This window comes from Homo sapiens, chromosome 3, assembly GCF_000001405.40.
Source record: "Homo sapiens chromosome 3, GRCh38.p14 Primary Assembly".
NCBI lineage: Eukaryota > Metazoa > Chordata > Mammalia > Primates > Hominidae > Homo > Homo sapiens.
In genome coordinates, this window is record NC_000003.12 from 187096946 (window position 1) to 187120868 (window position 23923).

At 40.2% G+C, this 23923-nt stretch overlaps 1 annotated feature.

Moving 5' to 3' along the window:
- Positions 4976-5025: an enhancer, noted in NCBI's record as "active region_20965". NCBI's record gives its function as "activates an Ori minimal core promoter by ATAC-STARR-seq in GM12878 lymphoblastoid cells {active_cell/tissue: GM12878}" and the evidence as "EXISTENCE:reporter gene assay evidence [ECO:0000049][PMID:35858748]".

A 23923-nucleotide genomic window follows, 5' to 3' on the forward strand; every position in this document is an offset into this window, starting at 1 on the left:
CACCAAAATAGAACTTCCTGAAAGCATAAAACTATAAGGCCTATAAAATGTAATGAATGTATGAATGTAAATGGCCTAAATGCTCCACTTAAAAGGTACAGAATGGCAGAATGGATTAAAAAAAAACATAAACTAGATATCTTCTGTCTTCAAGAGACTCACCTAACACATAAAAATTCATGTAAACTCAGGGTAAAGGAGTGGAAAAAGATATTCCACACAAATGGAAACCAAAAGTAAGCCAGAGTAGCTATTGTTATATCAGACAAAACAGATTTTAAAGCAACAACAGCCAAACACAAGCAAACAAAATACAAAGAATAACATTATATAATGATAAAAGGATCAGTCCAACAAGAAGATATTACAACCATAAATTTATATGCACCTAACACCAGAGTTCCAAGATTTATGAAACAATCACTACTAAATCAAAGAAATGAGATAGACAGCAACACAGTAATAGTGGGAAATTTCCATACTCCACTGACAGCACTAGAAAGATCACTGAGACAGAAAGTTAACAAAGAAGCAGTGGACTTCAACTATATGCTAGAACAAATGGACTTAACAGATATTTACAGAACATTCTACTCAACTACTGGAGAATATACATTCTTCTTATCAGAACATGGAACATTCTCCAAGATAGACTGTATCATAAGCCACAAAACAAGTCTCAATAAATATAAGAAAATCGAAATCATGTCAAGTATCTTCTCAGACCACAGTAGAATAAAACTGGAAATCAACTCCAAAAGGAACCTTCAAAACTATAAAATACATGGAAATTAAATCATCTGCTCTTGAATGATTTTGGTGTTAATAATGAAATCAAGATGAAAATTTAAAAATTATTTGAAATGAATGATAATAACCGACACAAGTTATCAAAACCTCTGGGATACAGCAAAAGCAGTGCTAAGAGGAAAGTTCATAGCATTAAACGCCTACATCAAAAAGTCTGAAAGAACACAAATTGACAACCAAATTTTACACCTCAGGGAACAAGAGAAACAGGATCAAACTAAACCCAAAGCCAGGAGAAGAAAAGAAATAAAGATCAAAGTGGAACTAAACAAAATTGAAACAACAACAACAACAATAAAAAATACAAAAGACAAATCAAACAAAAAGCTGGTTCTTTGAAAAGATAAACAAAGTTGGTAGACTGTTAGTGTGATTAACCAATAAAAGAAGAGAGAAGATCCAAGTAAGCTCAAATAGAAATGAAACTGGAGACATTACACAGAATACCACAGAAATACAAAAGATCATTCAAGACAACTATGAACAGCTTTATGTGCACAAACTAGAAAATCTAGAGGAAATGGATAAATTCCTGGAAACATATAACCTTCCTAGATTAAATCAGGAGGAAATAGAAATCCTGAACAGACCAATAACAAGCAGTGGACTGAATCCGTAATAAAAAAAATTGCTGACACAAAAAAGGTCCAGGACCACAGAGTTTCACAGCTGAATTCTACCAGACATTCAAAGAATTGGTACCAATCCTACTGAAACTATTCCAAAAGATAGGGAAAGAGGGAATCCTCCCCAAATCATTCTATCAAGCCAGTATCGCCCTAATACCCAGACTAGAAAAGGACATAATAAAGAAAACTACAGACAAATATCCCTGATGAACAAAGATGCACAAATCCTCAACAAAATACTAGCCAACTGAATCCAACAGCACATCAGACAGATAGTATATCACGATCAAGTGAGTTTCATCCCAAGGATGCAGGGATGGTTTAACATACACAAATCAATAAATGTGATAAATCACATAAACAGAATTAAAAGCAAATGCTATATGATCATCTCAATAGATGCAGAAAAAGCATTTGATAAAATCCAGCATCATTTTATGATAAAAACCCTCTACACACTAGGCATAGAAGAGACTTACCTCAAAATAATAAAAACCGTCTATGACAAAGCCACAGCCAACATCATACTGAATGGGAGAAAGTTGAAAGCATTCCCCCTGAGTACTGGAGCAAGACAGGGATGCCCACTTTAACCACTTCTGTTCAACATAGTACTGGAAGTCCTAGCCAGAGCAATCAGGCAAGAGAAAGAAATAAAGTCATCCAATTTGGAAAAGAGGAAGTTAAACTATCACTGTTTGCTGATGATATGATGGTATACATACAAAACCCTAATGACTCATCCAAAAGCCTCCTAGATCTGATCAACAAATGCAGTAAAGCCTCAGGTTACAAAATCATTGTACACAAATCAGTACCACTGCTATACACCAACAACGACCAAACTGAGAATCAAATCAAGAACTCAATCCCTTTTACAAAGCTGCAAAAAAAAAGTAAAATACCTAGAAATATAGTTAACCAAGGAGGTGAAAGATCTCTACAAGGAAAACTACAAAACCCTGCTGAAAGAAATCACAGATGGCACGAACAAATGAGAACATGCCTCAAGTTTATGGATGGAAAGAATTAATAATGTGAAAATGACCACACTGCCCAAAGCAAACTACAGATTCAATGGAATTCCCATCAAAATGCCATAATCACTTTTCACAGAACTAGAAAAAAGCAATACTAAAATTCACATGGAACCAAAAAAGAGCCCACATAGCCAAAGCAATACTAAGAAAAAAAAAATCTGGAGGCATCATATTCCAACTTGAAATTATACTACAAGGCTATACTTACCAAAACAGCATGGTACTAGTATAAAAATAGGCAGGTAGACCAATAGAACAGGACAGATAACCCAGAAATAAACCACATATTTATAGCCAGCTGATCTTAAACAAAGCATACAAAAACACAAATTTGGGAAAGGAAATCCTATTCAATAAATGGTGCTAGGAAAACTGGCAAGCCACCTGTGGAAGAATGAAACCATCTGCATCTCTCACCTTATACAAAAACCAACTCAAGATGGATCAAAGGCCTAAATCTAAGACCTGAAACCATAACAATTCTAGAAAATAACATTAGACAAACTCTTCTGGACATTGGCATACACAAAGGATTCATGACTCAGACCCCAAAAGCAAATGCAACAAAAACAAAAATAAATAAATGGGAACTGATTAAACTAAAAAGCTTTTGCACAGCAAAATAAATAATCAGCAAACAGACAACCCACAGAGTGGGAGAAAATATTTCAAACTACACATTCAATGAAGAACTAGTATCCAGAATCTACAAGGAATTCAAACAAATCCACAAGTAAAAGACCAAATAATCCCTTCAAAAAGTGGGAAAAGGGCAGGAGTAGATAATTCTCAAAAGAAGTATACAAACATATGAAAAATGCTCATCATCATTAATCATCAGGGAAATGCAAATTAAAACCACAATGAGATACAACCTTACGCCGGCAAGAATGGCCATAATTAAAAAATAAAAAATAAATAAAAAAAAAACGGATGTTCACGAGGATATGATGAAAAGGGAACACTTTTACACTGCTGGTGGGAATGTAAATTAGCACAACGTCTATGGCGAGCCCTTAAAAAAACTGAAAGCAGATTCACCATTCAATCCAGCAATCCCACTACTGGGTGTCTACACAAAGGAAAAGAAGCCATTATATGAAACGGACACACACACACACATATTTATAGCAGCACGATTCACAATTGTGAAGATATGGAACCAGCCTAAGTGCCCATCAACCAATGAGTAGATAAAGAAAATGTGGTATATGGAATACTACCCAGCCATAAAAAGGAATGAAATAATATCTTTTGAAGCAACTTGGATGGGGCCAGAGGCCATTATTCTAAGTGAAATTACTCAGGAATGGAAAATCAAATACCATATGTTCTCACTTACAAGTGGTAGCTAAGCTATGAGGATACAAAGATATACAGTGTGATATAATGGACTTTGGAGACATGGGGCAGGGAAGGTTCGGGGCAGTGAGGGATAAAAGACTACATATTTGATACTGTGTACACAGCTCGGGTGACAGGTGCACTAAAATCTCAGACTTCACCACTGTGGAATTCATCCATGTAACCAAAAACCACTTGTACCCCCAAAAGCTACTGAAATAAAGTAATAATTTTAAGAAAGGAGAAATTAAATTTACCATATATATAAAAGAAATGAGTGTAATATTAAGGGCATGAAGTACAGAGAAAGACAACATTACAATTATTCAGAGAATTTATTGGAAATAGCTAGTATTAATAAAATGTTCTCCTTTAAAAAAAACAAACAAACCTGAAATGCTGGCTGTGCTCCGCAGTCTGATGAGACCAGTGGCTGGACTCTGCAGTAAGGCTGAGCTGTTTGATTGCTCCTTGACAGGCCGTGTTGTAGGCTGTCTTCTCTGGTTGGCCAGTACTGCAGTTTTGAATCTGTAGTTTGGCAGGACTGCATGCTGGGCTCTGAGGCTGAGCAAGGCTTCTCGGATCACTACTTAACTACTCTGGGTGGACGGGGCCAGAGGCGATGCTTCACAGATATGCGTGAACTTGAGCTTGCTTCTCATCCCAGGATAACCTTAAGCAGAGCACTGAGGCTTGGTGTTTTAGCTCTTTGGCTGATGGAGCTGGGTGGGGCCAGATACTCCCTTTACAGATAATCACTGCCCTGCCCCTATCTCCCAGCCTGGGTAAATTTCAAGGAGGGTAACAGGACTGGCTGTGGAAGCTGGCCAGGTACCTGAATTTGAGAGACCAGTTGACTGTGCTTAGTCCAGAGCAGCGCTGTTGGCTAGCTTCTCTGGTGGTGCACCTCCACTGGCCTGAATGCAGGACAGCTGCCAAGATTCCTGCACTAGTTGATGTGAGCCCCACATCTGTTCTTTATCTCCAAGTGATCTCAGATGTCTAGCTCTGCTGATACTCCCAGTGCTTCCTGTGTGATGAGACAAGAGAACACTTCCTCTGAAGGGTCCCAGAATGGTGGCAAAGCTGAATGTTCACCTCCAACTCTCTCCTCCCTGTGTAACAACCATGGGTCCCAGAGAATCCTCTATGTGTGGCACGTTGCCAGCTTGGGGGAGGAGCAATGTGGCCAAAGTGAAACTACTCCTCTTATTCTTGGCATGCGGCTGTTCTCAGTTCTGCGGTATAAGGGGGTGTCTTAGCTTCACTCTCAAGTTCTGGAATATTCACAAGGGTGTTTTTGTCTGTGAGTAGTTGCCAGTGGATTTGTGTATGTATGTGTGGTGGGGGAGGAGAAATGGAGCTGGAAAATTCCTATTCTGTCTTCTTGCTGATGTCATTCTCAATGTCTTTTTTTTACTGCTTTTAAGATTTTTTAATCTTTATCAGTAGTTTTAAGTAATGGGAGTATGATATGCCTTCTTGTAGTTTTCTTTGTGGGTTTTTTTTTTTTCTGCTTAGGGTTATTTGAGCTGTTTGGAACTATGTTTACAGTTTTAATCAGATTTGAAAAATCTGTTTTTTTTTTTTTTCTGAGACAGAGTCTTCTCCTGTTACCCAGGCTGGAGTGCAGTGGTGTGATCATAGCTCACTGCAGCTTCAGTCTGCTGGGCTCAAGCAATCCTCCAACCTCAGCCTCCTGAGTAGCTGGGACCACAGGTGCATGCTACCATGCCTGGCTCCCTCAACATAGAAGACCCTGTCTCGTCAAAGAAAATTTTTATTTTATTGCTCAGGCTGGTCTCAAATCTCTGGCCTCAAGTGATCCCCCTGCCTCAGCCTCCCAATGTGCTGGGATTATAGGTATGGACCCCCATGCCCACCCTCCTTTGGAGAACCAAATAACATGAATGTTAGGTTGCTTAAGGCTGTTCCATAGCTCATTGGTCCTTTCTAAATTGTTTAAATTATTCTTTCTTCTATTTTATTTTGGGTAGTGTCTAGTGCCATGTCTTCAAGTTCACTTATATTTTCCTCTGCAATATCAAGTCTGCCATTAATCCCATCCAGAGTGTTTTTATCCGAGATATTATAGTTTTGATCTTTCCTTTGGCTTCTTGAATATGTAAAATACAGTTTTAACAACTATTTTTATGTCTTTGTCTAGTAATTATATCAAGTATATCATCTATGGGTCAGTTCTAGCTGATTTTACTCCTAACTATGGATAACGTTTTCCTGCTTCTTTGCATGACTGGTCATCTTTTATTGGATGCCAGACATTGCAAGTATTTTCTTTTGGGGTGCTAGATATTTTTGTATTTTTATCAATATCTTGAGCTTTGTTCTGGGATGCAATTAAGTTTCCTGGCAATAATTTGTTCCCTTTGGATACCACTTGTTTGCTTCCTGTTCCTCAGGAATCCACTATTCGTTATTACCTGATTTCCAATGTTTTAAATATTGTTATTTTTTTCATGTTCTTTATTTGTTTCATGTAAGAGGGTAAATCCAGTCTCTTTTACTCCATCTTGGCCAGAAATTGAAATATCTCTTCATTAAAACTTGAAATAAATATGTTACAGGAGTTTTACTTCAGCAGAATCTGGGTTCATTCAAACATGTGGCTCTCTCTCAGAGACTGGAAATAGGGACGCTACGGGCCTCCCCGTGCCCCACCCGCCACCTGAGCAGTGTACACTGTACCAAATATGTAGTCTTGTATCCCTCACTGCCTCCAGCCTTCCATGCCCCAGGCCCCACTGGTAAGGAGCTCCCTGATCGTCCATAGGGGAGGGGGCAGAGCTTAGGTGAACCAGAGGCCTAAGTTCAAGGGGCCACAATAGAAGGGAATAGGAACACTGATTGTTCTATGGCCCTGTCTTGTGGGCTAGGAAGAGAGGACTACAGTGAAAATATGAGAAGACCCCATGAGTTCAGATTATCTGCAATACCTATGAAATATTGAAACCTCAGTGTGGCAATGAGAAGTCTGCAGCTTCAGTGGCAGCATCGTGGTAGTAGGAAGAGGCCACAAGAATGGTTGGTGTCTGGCATTAGTGCTCATAGAAGAAAGACAGAAAAGGAGGAAAGTGATGGCTGTTATAATGAAAGGTTCAGTGCCTTTCTGTCCTTTTCTTTTTCTTTTTCTTTTTTTTTTGAGACAGAGTCTCGCTCTGTAGCCCAGGCTGGAGTGCAGTGGCGCGATCTCGGCTCACTCAAGCTCTGCCTCCTGGGTTCATGCCATTCTCCTGCCTCAGCCTCCCGAGTAGCTGGGACTACAGGCGTCCGCCACCGCACCTGGCTAATTTTTTGTATTTTTAGTAGAGACGGGGTTTCACCGTGTTAGCCAGGCTGGTCTCGATCTCCTGACCTCATGATCTGCCCTCCTTGGCCTCCCAAAGTGCTAGGATTACAGGTGTGAGCCACTGCACCCGGCCCTCTCTGTCCTTTTCGGGTAGGCATTTCAGGGGGCTAGATCCCCAACTGAAGGATCTAGGTCAAAGCAATGCCTCGGGAAGCAAAAATGGCCTGTGACCGGGAAGTCCTTGTGCACGCACATACACAGGCCAGTCAGGATGATAGTGGGAGCTGCAGTGTAGTGTGCTTGCTTGAATAAGTGAATTTTTAAAGTCATTAGTGACAAAAGTGACTTTTTTTCCCCCCGGACATGAGATCTGACCTGTCTTTCTGTGGTGATGAGGTCTTATGTTTGTCACTGCTGGCCACATCTCTGCTCTGCGGAAGCCTACGGGTGAGCCTGCCCAGCTGAATAAACAGGGGCCAGGACTGAAGGCTCAGGGCCGGGCATGATCCAAGCACTCACTGGTGCTTCCTCAGATGTTTGTTTTACCATTTTGCCAAAGAGAGATTGAAGGAGCCTTAAAACAGGTGGGGAGAAGTTCCATAAAGTTCTTCATCAGGAAGCTCGGAAAACCGCTTGGCAAAGGCATATCTAGAGACCCGGTTACATGAATGGAAAAGGATTGGTCGGTAGGCACAGGCATACTCCTCTGAAAATGCTGAAAATCTGTTCAACTCTGCGGCTCAGGTTGAGACAAATGCTGTGACCGCTTCATAAATCATGGTAGAAGGAAATCAAAAGAGAAATGTCTGTGAGGACTTTATATGAGTATTTCTTTTCCAAATGTGGAACATCCCATTCTTGGAACATACTGCACAGGGAAAGTGTGTGGCCCTGGGAAGCACTGAGTTATAAAGTAGTATTCCACTGAGAATTCTAGGAGCAAGCCAAAATACAGAGAAACCCTGAGTAGCTGCTTTTTCAATCACATAATACAACTGTGGTAGATTATAATGTCCCAGGCAGTATTCACGAAGAGGAAAGGGTTAGTGGTTTGGCCTGCGGTAACGAAGCTGACTTCACTGTCTGCTGCGCTTGTCCAGCAGCTAGTAATCTCCACCTCTTTTTCCATCACTTTCACTTGTGTGAGTTATTTCTCACCAGACCACGGTAAATGCCACTAGAAGCCTCATAGCAGTGCTTCACGTTTACCAGCGGGAAGGACACCAACACCAGCCCACTACTCAAGAGTGGACAGAATTGAACCTGCGTTTTAAGGAAACAGGTCCCAAACGCACTTTTTGTAGAATCTAAGCAGTGACATTTCCAAGTCTATTGAGCCCTTGTATTAACATATGAATATCCAGCCCTAAAAACTAGAAACAAGCTATCAGTGAAAATGCTTTGTTATGTGCTATTTTATATAACACAGTGGAACCTGTGTTTTGATTCAGCAAGTTTGAAACACACTTTTTTGTGGAATTTATGAAGTGTAACACTTTCCAAATTTGTCCTTACATTGAAGTTTTTTATACTATTGCCTAATTCAGCAACTTTCAGTTATAACAGATTCTCTAGTCTAGACATAAAGTACATTTTAAAGTATTTGAATATAGTGCCCCAATCTTGCAGCTATCTCTTTGCACCCTCCTCTTTTAGAACTTTTAAAAATTAATACGTTTGTTCTGCCATCCGTCCATCCACCCATTCACTTGTTCATTCAACTGAGAGATACTAGCATAAATACACTGTGCCTAGTCTTGGTGCCATGTGAGGGAGTTACAAAAATAACAATGACAACATTAGTGACAGACTCTCATATATCACTTGCCACTTGCCAGGAACACTTCTATGCTCTTAACATATTAACTGTTAATCCTTGTAACAACTATGGAGAAGTTGTTAGCTGTTGAACTATGAGACGATACTATTATTACCATGTGCAGATGAGGAAACTAAGATTAATGAGACATGGTCTTTGCTTTCAAAGGAGTTTACAGAGTAGTAAGAAGTCAAATTATATGTGCATAAAAGAGTGAAGTTAACATTGTTGGTTCTAAGTATCAATACAAGCTTGCAAAATTAATGGCATAGGATAGTTTCATACAGTACAAGGGAGTGTGTCTTACATCAGGTTCTCCCAAAAGCAGACACTGAGTTAAGGATTTGGGTGGTCATGATTGATTAGGAAATTGCTCTCTAGAGGAATCAGTAAGGAATGGATACAAGATAGGAAAGAGGAAGAAGCCAGCACAAGGGTACTTTCAGGGGAAGGTCTAGCTTCAGCCCGATTCCATGGAGAATATTGGAGTATAAATTATACCTTGCATGTTGTGATGGTTAATACTGAGTGTCAACTTGATTGGATTTAAGGATGAAAAATATTGTTCCTGGGTTTGTCTGTGAGGGTGTTGTCAAAGGAGATTAACATTTGAGTCAGTGGACTGGGAAAGGCAGACCCATCCTCAATCTGGGTGGGCACAATCTAATCAGCTGCCAGCTTGGCCAGAATAAAACCAGGCAGAAGAACATGGAGAGATTAGACTTGCTTAGCCTCACAGCCTACATCTTTCTCCCATGCTAGATGCTTCCTGCCTTTGAACATTGGACTTCAAGTTCTTCAGCTTTGGGACTTGGACAGGCTTCCTTGCTCCTTAGCTTGCAGATGGCCTATTGTGGGACCTTGTGATTGTGTGAGTTAATACTCCTTAATAAACTACCCTTATATATACATCTATCCTATTAGTTCTGTCCCTCTAGAGAACCCTGACTAATAGAGATTACCTGCCTAGAAGCAAGGGAACTGAGCATTTGAATGCTCCCCCCATCAATAATTGGCTCATGAGTCTCCCTGTGGTTGGGAAACATGTAAAAATCCCATGCCTATTAGGTATGTCAGTCAAGTGGTGGAAATGGTGGACTAGGGTAGGCAGCTCCAATGCCCAAGATCAGTCCTTTTATTATCTTGGGTTTAAGCCATTTGCAACAAAGCATGCAGAAGCTGGGGTACATGGAATTGATAGAAGAGGTCTGAGAGGATCTGGAGGGTGAGTATCAACATAACTGCTATAGTTCACCTCTTGTATTTCACAGATGAGCTTGCTTCTCTCACTCCATCCTTAAGCTCACTCCATCTCATCACAGTATCTTCCAAATTCTGGTTGGTTAAAGATCCTGGGGGAAACTTCTAAGAAATAGGTTAATGGAATAAGCTGAGTGCTCACTACTGCAGTTTGTCTTGAGATTGTACCATCTATTTGTCCTTTTCTTCTTCTACCACCCTTTCTAGATTTCCCTTGCCCTTGGATACCACTTCTGCTAGTTTAGGTGGCTTTCTTGGTGACATGACCCTGACCTTCAACCCTTAAAGGCCTGAGCCCCTGGCTACCATGCTTTTATCAGGCCATGGTTGCTGTAACTACCCATTCCCACTTAATGCTGGCCGTGGGAATATCAAGAAATGTCCCAGAGAACCACCTGAATTCTGAACATATTCCTCCACACCTTCATTAGGTAGCGCAATTCTACGTCCTCATGATGTCAGGGTCAACTCTCCTGCTAGTATGGTGACTTTTATTTCTGGTATAGTGGCAGCAACCAGTTATCAGTCATAGCTTTTTAAATGAAATTCTTAATGTGTCCCCTGGTGGAAGTACACCTCATCTGTGAAACAGGACCTGAGACCCACAGTGGCTGAGTTTGGGGAGACAAGAAGTACAAATTCCCCAAGTGGGAGTGATGGTAAGTAGGTCCACTTTCTACTCTCACCACTTGAATTCTGGAATCAATTATTCTATCTATTGACAACATAGGACCCCACCTTCAGAGGATTATCATCTCCAAGCTGGCACCTCAACTCTGCCTAACACTGTTAGGCCAGCAGCCTCTGGATGATATAGTACGTGGTAGGACGAGTGGATTCCACAGTCTTGTGCCCATGGCCAGACATCCAAGGCATTGTCACATAGTATGCCCTGCTGGTTAATCAGATGCTCTTTAACCCTTCATCAGATAGTGATGTTGTTTGAGGCCCGTGGGCAGGAAAGGCAAGCCCATTCCTGGAATACGTGACAATCCCAATGGGAAGAAAATGTTTGGCTTTCCAGAGTGAATGGAGTCCAATGTAATCAACTTGCTGCCAAGTGACTGGTTGTTTTACTTGAGGGTTAGTACCATATTTGGGCTCCAGTGTAAGCTTCTGTTTCTGACAGCTGAGACATTCAGCAATGCCAGTAGTTAGATCTGCCTTGCTAAGAGGGAGCCCATGGGTCTGTACATAGTGTCTTTGTTTCTGGTATCCTGGCTTCTCTGTTCGTGGGCCTATTGCACAAAAATTGGGATGGCCAAGAACCAAGGTGAGCTCATATCCATTGGAAGAGCTACTCTGTTCAGCTGGTTAATGTCTCTTCTGGGTAGACGCTTACTTGTGGGCCTTAAATATGTGCTATAAAGATGCTCACACTTTGAGACCACTTCCATAGGTTAATCCACATGTTCATCTCCAGACTATTTATTCCTGATTTTCCAATTTTTCTTCCTCTAGGCCCCTGGTTAATCAGCCACTACTATCCATGAGGCTATATACAGTCATTCCTTGGTATCCACTGGGGATTGTTGCCAGGATTCCCCTTGGATACCAAAATCTGTGGATGTTCAAGTCCCTTATATAAAATGACATGGTATTTACATATAACCTACGCACACAATCCCGTATACAGTAAATCATCTCTAGATTGCTTATAATACTCAACACAATGTAAATGCTATGTAAATGTTCTTATACTATATATTTTTTAAAATTTGTTGGCCGGGCGCGGTGGCTCACGCCTGTAATCCCAGCACTTTGGGAGGCCGAGGCGGGCGGATCACGAGGTCAGGAGATCGAGACCATCCTGGCTAACACGGTGAAACCCCGTCTCTACTAAAAATACAAAAAATTAGCCGGGCGTAGTGGCGGGCGCCTGTAGTCCCAGCTACTCGGGAGGCTGAGGCAGGAGAATGGCGTGAACCCGAGAGGCGGAGCTTGCAGTGAGCCGAGATTGCGCCACTGCACTCCAGCCTGGGCGACAGAGCGAGACTCCGTCTCAAAAAAAAAAAAAAAAAAAAAAAAAAATTTGTTTTATTTATTGTTGCATTTTTTCCAAATATTTCTGATATTAGCAGTTGGTTGAATCTTCAGAGTAGAACCAGTGGATATAGAGAGCCTCCTGTACACATATCATTACCATATAGCACTTCCCACTGTACACAACATAGGTGACCAGATGCAACGTCCAAACTTTGTCCACTTAGAGAACTTCTCTCACCATTGTCTTTTAGGGCCACCCAGGAGGGGGGATACAGTTCAGTAATAGTCCATTTTTGGTTCATACCAAGATATTCAATAAGGTATCCATGAATCAGACCTGGTAATTTTCCTCCTCTGATAGCTGGTCAAAGGAAACTCCCACACGAGGCCAAAGGGTTAGCAAAGGAGAAGTATCATTGTATTGGTGATGAGTGATGGGGATTCGGGCCACCTGTTCATGCAGATTACTGTGCCCTCTGGATCTGCTGCAGCTGCATCTAGAACCTACCACTTCTATCACATGATAGATTGCTGCTGAGCCTGCCCAACGTTATGACTTGGTAGTTCTGAAAGTTCTCAGCTCAAGATAAGCAGCTCGGATCCTAGAGTCACTTGATGAGATGCTCTGTCTCTATGGGAGCTTAATACCTACCTAGCCAGGAGCTGCTTTTCATATGGTATATAATTTTATGCTTTGAACGGCATGGCCTTTCTCCCTTCAGTGTATCGAGGACACTCAGCAATAGTCAAATTGTTCTGCAGTAGCTATAAATGATTTCCTTTGTATCTCTCAATCGCTGAAGATATTGAACAAATCAGAGCATTCCCTTCTGTTTCCTGTCTTAGTTAACCACAGGTGAAAGTTCTAGGAATGGCATTGCTATGGCCTGCCAGGGCCTATTAACACAAGACATGAAGTCATTTTCATCTGGTCAGAATCTCATCCATAAAGTGTGCATCCTAAGACCACTTTTGGGGCCAACTGTCTTAAAATAGGCTCTCCTGGAGTCAGATCCCGAGTCAAGGATTCAGGTGCTAGTGATTTATTAAGGGAAAAACCAGTAAGGAAGTGGGAGAAGCAGCAGAGGAGAGGAAAAGAGACTAAACAAGACATCAACTTTTGGTGAAGTCTCAGTTTCAACCCAAATTTGTAGAGAGTAATGATTGACTCCTCATTTAGTTTCACAGCAAAGGAGCTGGGGAGAGGGGGTAGAATTAGATACAGAGCACCCAGGCACCTCCTGCTCTCAGCTGGGGCAGGCAGCCCTAGTGCCTGGGAGAAGATCTCTGAAGGTCACAGATGTTGACTGCTGCTGCAGATCATGTAGAAGCTAGAGGATGGAGGCACAGAACTGGGAAGAGGGATCTCAGGGGATCTGGCCAGGGCACTCTTATGCCTACTCCAAAGTGATACAGGAAGAAACGTGCTGAGTTTAGGGAATCAAGCAATCCTGTGTGAGATGGAGTGGTCAAAGAAGGCTTCCTGGAGGTCAGACTTGAGGTAGATTAATCTAGAGTCAGTGGACGTTGACTCCAATTATTACCAACGGCATCGCAGTTAACGTTTAGTGGGGTTGTCAATAGTGGCTAGAACATAAAAGGGTGTGAGGAACAGGATTTGATCACCACAGTACTTGCTGTTGAGATTCTTTGACACTTTCCTTAGCACGCTTCCTAGGCTGGAGAAAAAATATAGAACAAAAACACAAACATCCTAACTATCTACCCTTTCTCACTAATCTCTCCTGCATATTTGTTTCAAGTCCTCCTCTAAGAAATGTCTTCTGGAGGGGTGAGTGCTGACCATCATTACCTAATTTCCCTGCTCCCCATCCCATTCCCCACTCTTTCCTTCCCATCCCTTCCTCTCTTCTATGTATTGGGTGCTGGTCACCAGTAAGGGCTCTGAAGACACCGCATCCTCTCTCAGGATGTGTTTGCTTTAATTGAACAAGCATTTATGACTTCCCTGCCTCCTCTGAGGGCTTAGCATTTGCTGCAAGTTCCAAATCACTCTTACCTAATACTATGAAAGAGAATTTGATGAGCTGCCCAAAGAAGTATAATAGATTATGAATATGAGTGCTCAGAGACCAGTTTTGTTCAAGCAAACAGGGAAGACATTCAGGAGAATACGGGACCTGATTTGAGTCTTAGAATATAAGATGTAGAGACGGTGTAGGGGAATTGGCCTACAAAGGAGCTGTAGTGTGCGTGAGTGGAGACGCAGATGGTCCCCGATTTACTATGGTTCAACTTCAGAGGTTTTGACGTTAGGATGGTGCAAAAGTTATAAGCATTCAGTATGCTTCTCAATTTACAATGGGGCTACATCAGGATAAACCAATTATAAGTTGAAAATATCAGTTTGTTCAGACTTAATCCCACCTTAAGTCAAGGAGTGCCTGTATTTGATATGGAAGTCAGGAGAATGCTACATTAATACTTCTTCTGCATGATCCTCAGACCATCACCTGAGTATCACAATGAAAGCACCCATTCTCCATTTCTTCTCTCCCATTCACCTATACATTCCTGTTCCCAGAGGGAACCACTTTCAAATCTTCGCCATTTATTATAGTATTCACTTTCATTTTCCTAAAGGATATGATTATACTGCCATGTTTTTGTTTTTTGACTTTAAATATTATTTACTACAATAGATGATAAAGATTTAGCCATCTTACAATTCACACCTCATCCACACACAATTCTTCTATACCCCACTCCTAATGTAGTTATAATAGCATCATATTTGGTTAAGTCAATATTCAAAGATTATATGTTTTGACTATGTAAATGTTATTTACAGCTGAGTTATGTATGGGTTTCATGGTTACATTTTCTTTCCCCGCCCCCTGCATTTTTTTTTTTTTTTTGAGAGAGAGTTTCCCTCTTGTTGCCCAGGCTGGAGTGCAATGACGTGATCTCAGCTCAACACAACCTCCGCCTCTGTGGTTCAAGCGATTCTCCTGCCTCAGCCTCCCGAGTAGCTGGGATTACAGGCATGTGCCACCATGCCCAGCTAATTTTGTATTTTTAGTAGAGACAGGGTTTCTCCATGTTGGTCAGGCTGGTTTCGAACTCCTGACCTCAGATGATCCACCTGCCTCAGCCTCCCAAAGTGCTAGGATTACAGGTGTGAGCTATTGCACCTGGCCTCTTTCCTTTTCTTTAACCACCCCCCTACCCTGGAGTTAATGATTACATTTTTTTGTTTGCTTAGTATTCTTTTGTAATATCACCAGTTTATCCCCAAATTCTGACACAGCTGTCAAACTTTTGTTGGTACAATTATTTATAAATATTAAATATTCTATAAGCTTCTTTTTAATCCTTCCTTCCTTTCTCTTTCTCTTTTCTCTTCTCTTTTCTTCTTCCTTCCTTCCTTCCTTCCTTCCTTCCTTCCTTCCTCTCTCTCTCTCTCTTTCTTTCGAGACAGAATCTCACTCTGTCGCACAGGCTGGAGTGCAGTGGCATGGTCTTGGCTCACTGTAACCTCTGCCTCCCTACCTCAAGCAATTCTCCCACCTCCGCCTCCTAAGTCGCTGGGACTACAGGTGTGTGCCACCACACCTGGCTAATTTTTGTATTTTCAGTAGAGACAGGGTTTTGTCACATTGGCCGGGCTGGTCTTGAACTCCTGACCTCAAGCGATCCGCCCGCTTTGGCCTCCCAAAGTGCTGGGATTACAGGCATGAGCCACCACGCCTGGCCTATAAGCTTCATTTTGGAGGGGAGTCTCTGGGGGCGCTGTCTCTCCTGAACTGGTGATCTCTAACCCTACATTAAACAAGTGTTCTCCTAGAACTTCATTTCATCATCATCTTAGGAATTTCCTTTGCTCCTCTGTGAATCTTGTTCCTTTTTCCCTCACACTGCTTCTTTCTTAGTTTACATCTCCTTGCTTTTGTGGGACATACCAGAACGTGGTTTTTAGAGAGAGAGGGCACATGGGAGGAGGCAGCAGGGTGAAGGTGGGAATGGATGGCTCAGAGGAAACATGCCATATAAGGAAATGTGAAGTTATCACCTGACAGTAATGCAAGGACACCGTGTTGTGTGCTCTTGGAGGTTCTTCCTTCAGAGACAATAAATTTCAACTATACTGGATTTGAAAGGTAAAGCCTTTAAGATAGAGCTTTATATTTTTTGGTGTGCATAACAGGCTTGGATATCTCCTGGAAGACACACTATTCCTCCCCCAAGTACCAAAACACAATCATTAAAGAAGCTGTACTTCACCACATTGACAGAAGAGGGCACCATTAAATGAAGAATCTTGTAAATTAGCCCACATCCACAAAAAGAATTACAAAAAATGGAATAAATCTATGCAAAGCTTCTTAAAGAAAGAGACTCAACACACCTCAAGTGATAAAAATTTTCCACCACTCCAAGGGAGGTAAATACAAAAATGACCATGAAGCAGAGGAAAACTGCAATGCTACACTCCAGACTCAAATAACCTCAAACAAGTATAGACATGTGAAAAGCTATACATATATATACATATATGTGTATATATGTATATATATGTATATATGTGTGTATATATGTATATATTTGAACCTCCCAGGTTCAAACATAAATTTTAGAACTATATTTATTTTTTGAACCTCCCAGGTTCAAGAGATTCTCCTGCCTTAGCCTCCCAAGTAGCTGGGATTACAGGTGGGCGCCATCACACCCAGGGAATTTTTGTATTTTTAGTAGAGACGGGGTTTCACCATGTTGTCCAGACTGGTCTCAAACTCCTAACCTCAAGTGATCCACCTGTCTTGGCCTCCCAGAGTGCTGGGATTACAGGCATGAGCCACTGCGCCTGGCCTGAAAAACTATCTTTAATCAGAAATTAAAATATAAATGGATTTAGAAAAAAATGGGAAGTAATGAACAGTGTGTTGATTGAACTCAGAAAGAAAATAAAAGAAAAAGAAAAATAATCTTAGGATTGAAACATAAATTTTAAGAGGGTACTTATATTGGTTTCCTAGGGCTATCTTAACAGATTACTATAAACTGAGAGCTTGAAACAATAGGAATTTATTTTCCCACAGTTCTGGAGGCCAGAGGTCTCAAATCAAGGGGCTGGCAGGGCTTGTTTCTTCCCGAGGCTCTGAGGGAAGGGTCTGCTCTATCTCTCCTTCATAGCTTCTGGGGGCTGCCAGCAATCCTTGTTGTTCTTTGGTTTATAGATGCGTCACTCTAATCTCCACCTTCCTTCCCACATTACCATCGTTTCTATGTGTCTTCTCTCCTTCTATTCTAAGGATACTTGGAATTGGAATTAGGGCTCAACCAGAAAACCTAGGATGATTTTATCTTGAGATACTTAATTACACCTGCAAAGACCCTTTTTCCAAATAAGATCATATTCCCAGGTTCTGAGTAGACATTTTTGGGGTGTGGGGGTGGGCGTGGTCATCATCACCTCGCTATAGCACCCAAAGGAGAATGTACTCAGATGGAAATTTAATATGGGCACTGAACAAAGGCAAACAAGCAAGAAAATGAAATGAAATAAAGAAGTGAAATGGGTCAGGAAGAAAGTGATTGACAGGGAAGACAGTCCAAAGCAACACTGGTATAACTGGAGTACATGAAGAAGAAATAGCAAACAATGTAACTATCATTTAAAACTATAATTGAACTGTTGAACTGGGTGACAGGGTGAGACCCTGTCCCTAAAAAAACAAAAACAGAACTGTAATAGAAGAAGAAAGCTTTCCAGGAGTAAATACAGGTTTAACTTTAAAAATGCCCAAACTATTCCCTATTTTTTATTCCCACCAGCAATGTATGAGAATTTCAGTTGCTTTGCATCCTTGACAGCACTTGCTATTGTCAACTGTATTCTTTTGCTTTTTTTTTTGTTTATTCATTCTTATAGGTCAATAGTGGTATTTTACTGTAGCTTTATTTTGTATATCCTAAAAATGATGTTAATTGCATATCACTATGAACCTCTTTTAATGTGCTTATTTGCCAACTACATATCATCTATGATGAAGCGTCTGTTCAAATTCTTTGCCTGTTTTATAAATTGTTGTTTCCTTATTATTGAACTTTGATAGTTCTTTTTATAATCTGGATATAAGGCTCTTATTTGATATATGTAGTATACAGAGATATCTAGAGAGAGCAAATATTCTGCTTCTGATGTTACTTTTCATTCTCTTAATGTCTTAAAGAGAAATGATTTTAAATTTAATAAAGTCCAACTTATCAAGTTTTTAATTTTATGAATTGTGTTTTTGTTGTCATATTTAAGACACCTCTGCCTCACCCAAACTTAAGAATATTTCTTTTATGCTGTCTTCTAGAAGCTTTATACCATTAGATTTTACATTTAGGTCTATGATCCCATTAGAGTTTATTTTTGTATATGGTACAAGATATGGATCAAGGTGGGTTTTTTTTTTAACATGTAGATGTGCATAATTTGTTGTAAAGACTATCCTTTGTCCACTGAATTGCCTTTGCACCTTTGTCAAAAGTTCATTGATCCTCTATGCATCGATCTATTTTTTAAATTTCCTGTCTTGTTTCTTCATTCTACTTGTCTATCTTACTTCACCAAGCCTACATTAGCTCAATTACTATAGCTTTACCATAAGTGTTAAAATCAGTTAGGGCCCAGTGTGGTGGCTCATGTCTGTAATTCTAGCATTTTGGGAGGCCAAGGCAGAAGGATCACTTGAGCCCAGGAGTTTGAGATCCACCTGGGCAACATAGGGAGACCTCATCTCTACAAAAAATTTTAAAAATTAAAAAAACTAAAATCAGTTAGTATGAACCCTCCAAATTTGTTGCTTTTTTCAAAATTATTTCGGGTATTCTACATTCTTTGCATTTCCACATAAATTTTAGAATCAACTTATTTCTACAGGAAAGCCTATTATGTTTCTGATTGGAATTGTGTTAAATCTATAGGTCAATTTGAAGAAAAATGACATTTTACCACTACTGAGTTCTCCAATCTATGAATACAGTATATCTCTCCATTTATTTAAGGCTTTGCTTTCTTTCAGCAGTGTTTTGCAGTTTTCAGCATACAATCCTTTGCATATTTTTGTTAGATTTATTCTTAAGTATTTTGTTTTTTGATGTATTGTAAATGGTACTATGGTAGTATTTTAAAATTTTTAATTTCCAATCATTTATTTTTATAATACTGAAATTCAATTGTGTTTTGAATATTAGCCATATATATTGTGACTTGCTAACCTCACCTGTTGGTTCTAGGATCTATTTTATAGAATATTTGGGGTTTTTATATCTAGACAATAATTTCATTAATGCATAGAAACAAATACTGGAAGAAAAGGTGAGGCAAATTCATTTAAAAAATGGGTATAGAGAAAGGATTTCTAATTATGACTCAGAATCTCGATATAGTAAAAACAATTTGATAAATTTTGTTGCATAAAAAACCTTTTGTGTGGGAAAATACCATAAACAAAGTAAAAATACAACGGAGAAATTTGAAGAAAAAATTTGCAACATACATCAGAAAGGGCTAATATCCCTAATATATAAAGAACTCTTAAAAATGGAGAGGAAAAAGTCCAAAAATATGACATGAAAATGGGCTTAAAACATGAACAGACCACACACACACAAACACGATATAAAAATGGCCCTTACACATATGAAAAGGTGTTCAACCTCACTCAAACAAATGAATGCAAATTAAGACTATACTGAGATACCGTTTCTCACCTACCAGATGGGGAAAATTAGATAGTGTGATGCCATTCTGATGAAAGGCTGTGAGAAGAGAAGACAGCTGTGAGGGGTTTTCAGCACTCGGCTCTCCAGTTCATCCTTCTACATGAGTTTCAGTGATGATCAAGGAAGATACGTGAGGAGAAGAGAGTGCCTGTGCTGTTTGGTGCAGACTTAGAAAGGATGTTGGGAACAAAGCACTGGGGTGTTCTGGAGATGTTATCTGAGTTCCAAAGAGTGGATTTAATACATTTTTTAAAAATTTTCTAATTCCACAGGTTATTGGGGAACAGGTGGTGTTTGGTTACATAAGTTAAGTTCTTTAGTGGTAATTTGTGAGATTTTCGGTTCACCCATCACCCAAGCAGTATACACTGCACCCAGTTTGTAGTCTTTTATTCCTCACTCCCTTCCCACCCTTTCCCCCTGAGTCCCAAAGTCCATTGTGTCATTCTTATGCCTTTGCATCCTCATACTTAGCTCCCACTTATGAGTGAGAACATACAATATTTGATTTTCCATTCCTGAGTTACTTCACTTAGAATAATAGTCTCCAATCTCATCCAGGTTTCTGCGAATGCCATTAATTAATTCCTTTTTATGGCTGAGTAGTATTCCATCATCCATCTATCATCTATCTATCTATCTATCTATCTATCTATCTATCTATCTATCTATCTATAAAAAACAGTTTCTTCATCCACTCATTGATTGATGGGCATTTGGGTTGGTTCCACATTTTTGCAATTACGAAATGTGCTGCTATAAACATGTGTGTGCAGGTATCTTTTTCGTATAATGACTTTTTTTCCTCTGGGTAGATACCCCGTAGTGGGATTGCTGGATCAAATGTAGACCTATACTGAACATACCCATTTACATCATCCTACAATTTCAAGTATATTTTCTCATATGATATGTGGCAAACAAAAGACATCTGTATCTTTTGATATGTGCTCTCTGTTAAGGTTGGTGCTGGTGCTTGAGAGTGACCTAAATTTTATGGGTCCCATCAAATGGAGGAAAAATTCTCTATAATTGACCTCAGATTTCATTAGGTGACAGATGGCCTATGCTCAGAACATAATCTATTAGAATCAGAAAACTACCTATTGTCTTGGATATTTATGGCAAATTATTAAAATGTTTTCAATCATCAATGCTAGCGTGTAGTCACAGCCCTTGGTGCAGCCTAAAGACAGATGAGCCCAAACCCCCACTCAGAAACAGACCATACCAAGGTAGAGAGGTTCAGCCAACCCACCCAGCTCAACTCAGCTCAGAGTCAGACCTCTGACACTCTAAAGTAGCATTTTATGAAAACCTTGTTTTATTGCCTCAGTTTATGAAGCTGTTTTCAATCTCATTCAAGCCTTGTAACTCAGTGAGGAAGTCGGCTGTCTGATATATCCAGGTGAAATACAATAATTAAGGCCCAGAGAGGTTCTCTACCAGTTGTCCAACATCATAAAACTGATGGGAAGAGCCATAACTTCAAGCTACCCGAATCCTAGTCCTTTGCTTTTTGTTTCTATTGTGGAAGAATTCTTCCCAGAAACAGGATCACTCCCACAAGCAGGGATTCCATTATTTCAAAATTGAGTCAGGAATCTTAAGATTATGGGAGTAAAGCCTTGTTCAATTAACTAGACTCAAGATACAGAAACCAAGATGGGTGTGGTGGCTCATGGCTGGAATTCCAGCACTTTGAGAGGCCAAGGTGGAAGGACTGCTTGAGGCTAGGAGTTGGAGACCAGCCTGGGCAACACAGTGAGGCCCTGTCTCTATAAAAAGTAAAAAATTAGCTGGGCATGGTGGTGCACACCTGTTATCCTAGCTACTCAGGAGGATGAGGTGGGAGAATCATTTGAGCCCAGAAGTTCAAGGCTGCAGTGAGCTAGGATCACATCACTGCACTCCAACCTGGGCGACAGAGCAAGACTGTCTCAAAAAAAAAAAAAAAAAGAAAAGAATAGAAACCAATACTCGATTTTATATATGGGCTCCTCCTTCCTCTTCCATCATAGCTTTCCCAGTATGATTCCCTTAATTTTCTTAACCCTAGTACAACCATCTCGTGATGCACAGACCAGATTTTTCCTCCACTGTTCCACCACTGGGACACGTTGTCTTAGGTCTATACAACATTGATCTAATCCCTGAAGATGAAGGGCCCACTTAAAAAAATTATCTATGTACTAAAAATGTATCTATGTCCGAGGCCTTCTTTGTACAGTCATCACTTGTTATTTGCCAGGGATTGGTTCTAGGACTTCTACAGATACTAAAACCACAGATGCTCAAGTCCTTTATATGAAATGGCCATACTTATTTGCATATAACCTATTCACTTCTTCTGTATATTTAAAATCATTTCTAGATTACTTATAAGACCTAATAAAATATAAATGGTATATAAATCATTGTTATACTGTATTTTTATGTGTATTATTTTTTATTACTGTATTATAATTTTTGGACATTTTTAATCTGTGGTGGGTTGAATTTGCAGATGCGGGACCATGAATATGGAGAATTGAGTGTACTCCATTTTTTTATAAGCATAAAATTACACTCATTCCTAGACCTTCACCTCCTATACACTTCTGTGCTCAGGGCAGCTACGTATTTATGAGGCAAAGCCTCCCATTCAATTTTGAGAATAGGGAATTCACTCCTGATATCAGAGGGAGAGATGAAGCTGACCTACATGACACCTTAGCACAAAGAAAAATGTATCCTTCCCTCTGGGCGGATGTAGCTTTGCACAATGGTGCGGCTTGGCAAGTGGAATTCTAGCAGAGTTGTAGTCCTGATTAACTCCCTTGGCCAGCCATCTTTGTCTAACAGCCAAACTGCATGATCATACAAGGTAGCCGTGGGACTGGGATCCATGAAGATTATTTCCTTAAGATTTTTTTTAGTAACTGACAAGGCAAGTAGACACAGTCACTTCACAGTTTGTAATTACTTATTTGCAAGATTTAATATCTGCTCCCAGTTTAATGAGTTCCATGAAAGTAGGGACTCTGTCTTTACTCACTCCATATGCCAGTGCCCACTATAGTGCCTGGCACATCATAAGCACTCATTACTTGTTCAATTCTCTTAATAGCTGTGGCTGCAATACTTTGGGAAGAGCAAAAAGATTATCTCATAACTCTTAGTTCATAACTCTCAGACATGACCGCTGTCCAGAAGTTTATGGCAAACACAAGAACCCACATGTAGAGAAGAGTGAAGAAGACAGGCAGAGACTGCTAGCTAGAAATGTTACAAATTCTAGACCATGGCCTACTACTGCTTCTGCATAATGTCCTATTTAAATAGAGTAGCAATATAAATGACAAAATCTGTGACTGGCCCTTTACTGGTCACTGATATTTGCACTTTATCAATGGCCTCCTGTTCCATCCAATACCATTCTTGTCTCTTTTTCAAATCCATTTTCCATAATACAGCCAGTGTGAAAACTGACCTGATTGAAGTATGGTTTCAGTTCAAAACCTTTCAATGGTTGCTGATTGCTTAGGAGAAAAAGGCACAAAGTTCTAATGATTTATAAAGCCCTCTGTGGTTTGGCCTTTACTTAGCTCTGCAAACTCACCTAGAGTCATTCCCTCTGCTTTCTACGCTCTAGCCAGCTCCTTTCTATGCTCCTTTCACTTCCCTAAGGACATAATGTGCTCATTGCTGCTCAAGGCCTTCAAACATGCTGTTTCCTCTGCCTAAAATACTTGTTCTCCCTATGACAATCTTCACTTACTTGACTCGTGCCTCCTATAGGTCTTAACTTATATTGAGTTCTGAACACATACTGAAGGCATAAAGTGGGTCTCCCCACTTGCCCAGGAACTCTACCTTCTCTGTATCTTATTTTCCTCTGTAGTCCTGATCTCATTTTGTCCCATTTATACATCTGCATGATCTGAGCAGCATCTATCCCTCTCACCACAGGCTGAAGGTCTATTTGGCTCAGCATTTATCCTCAGCATTA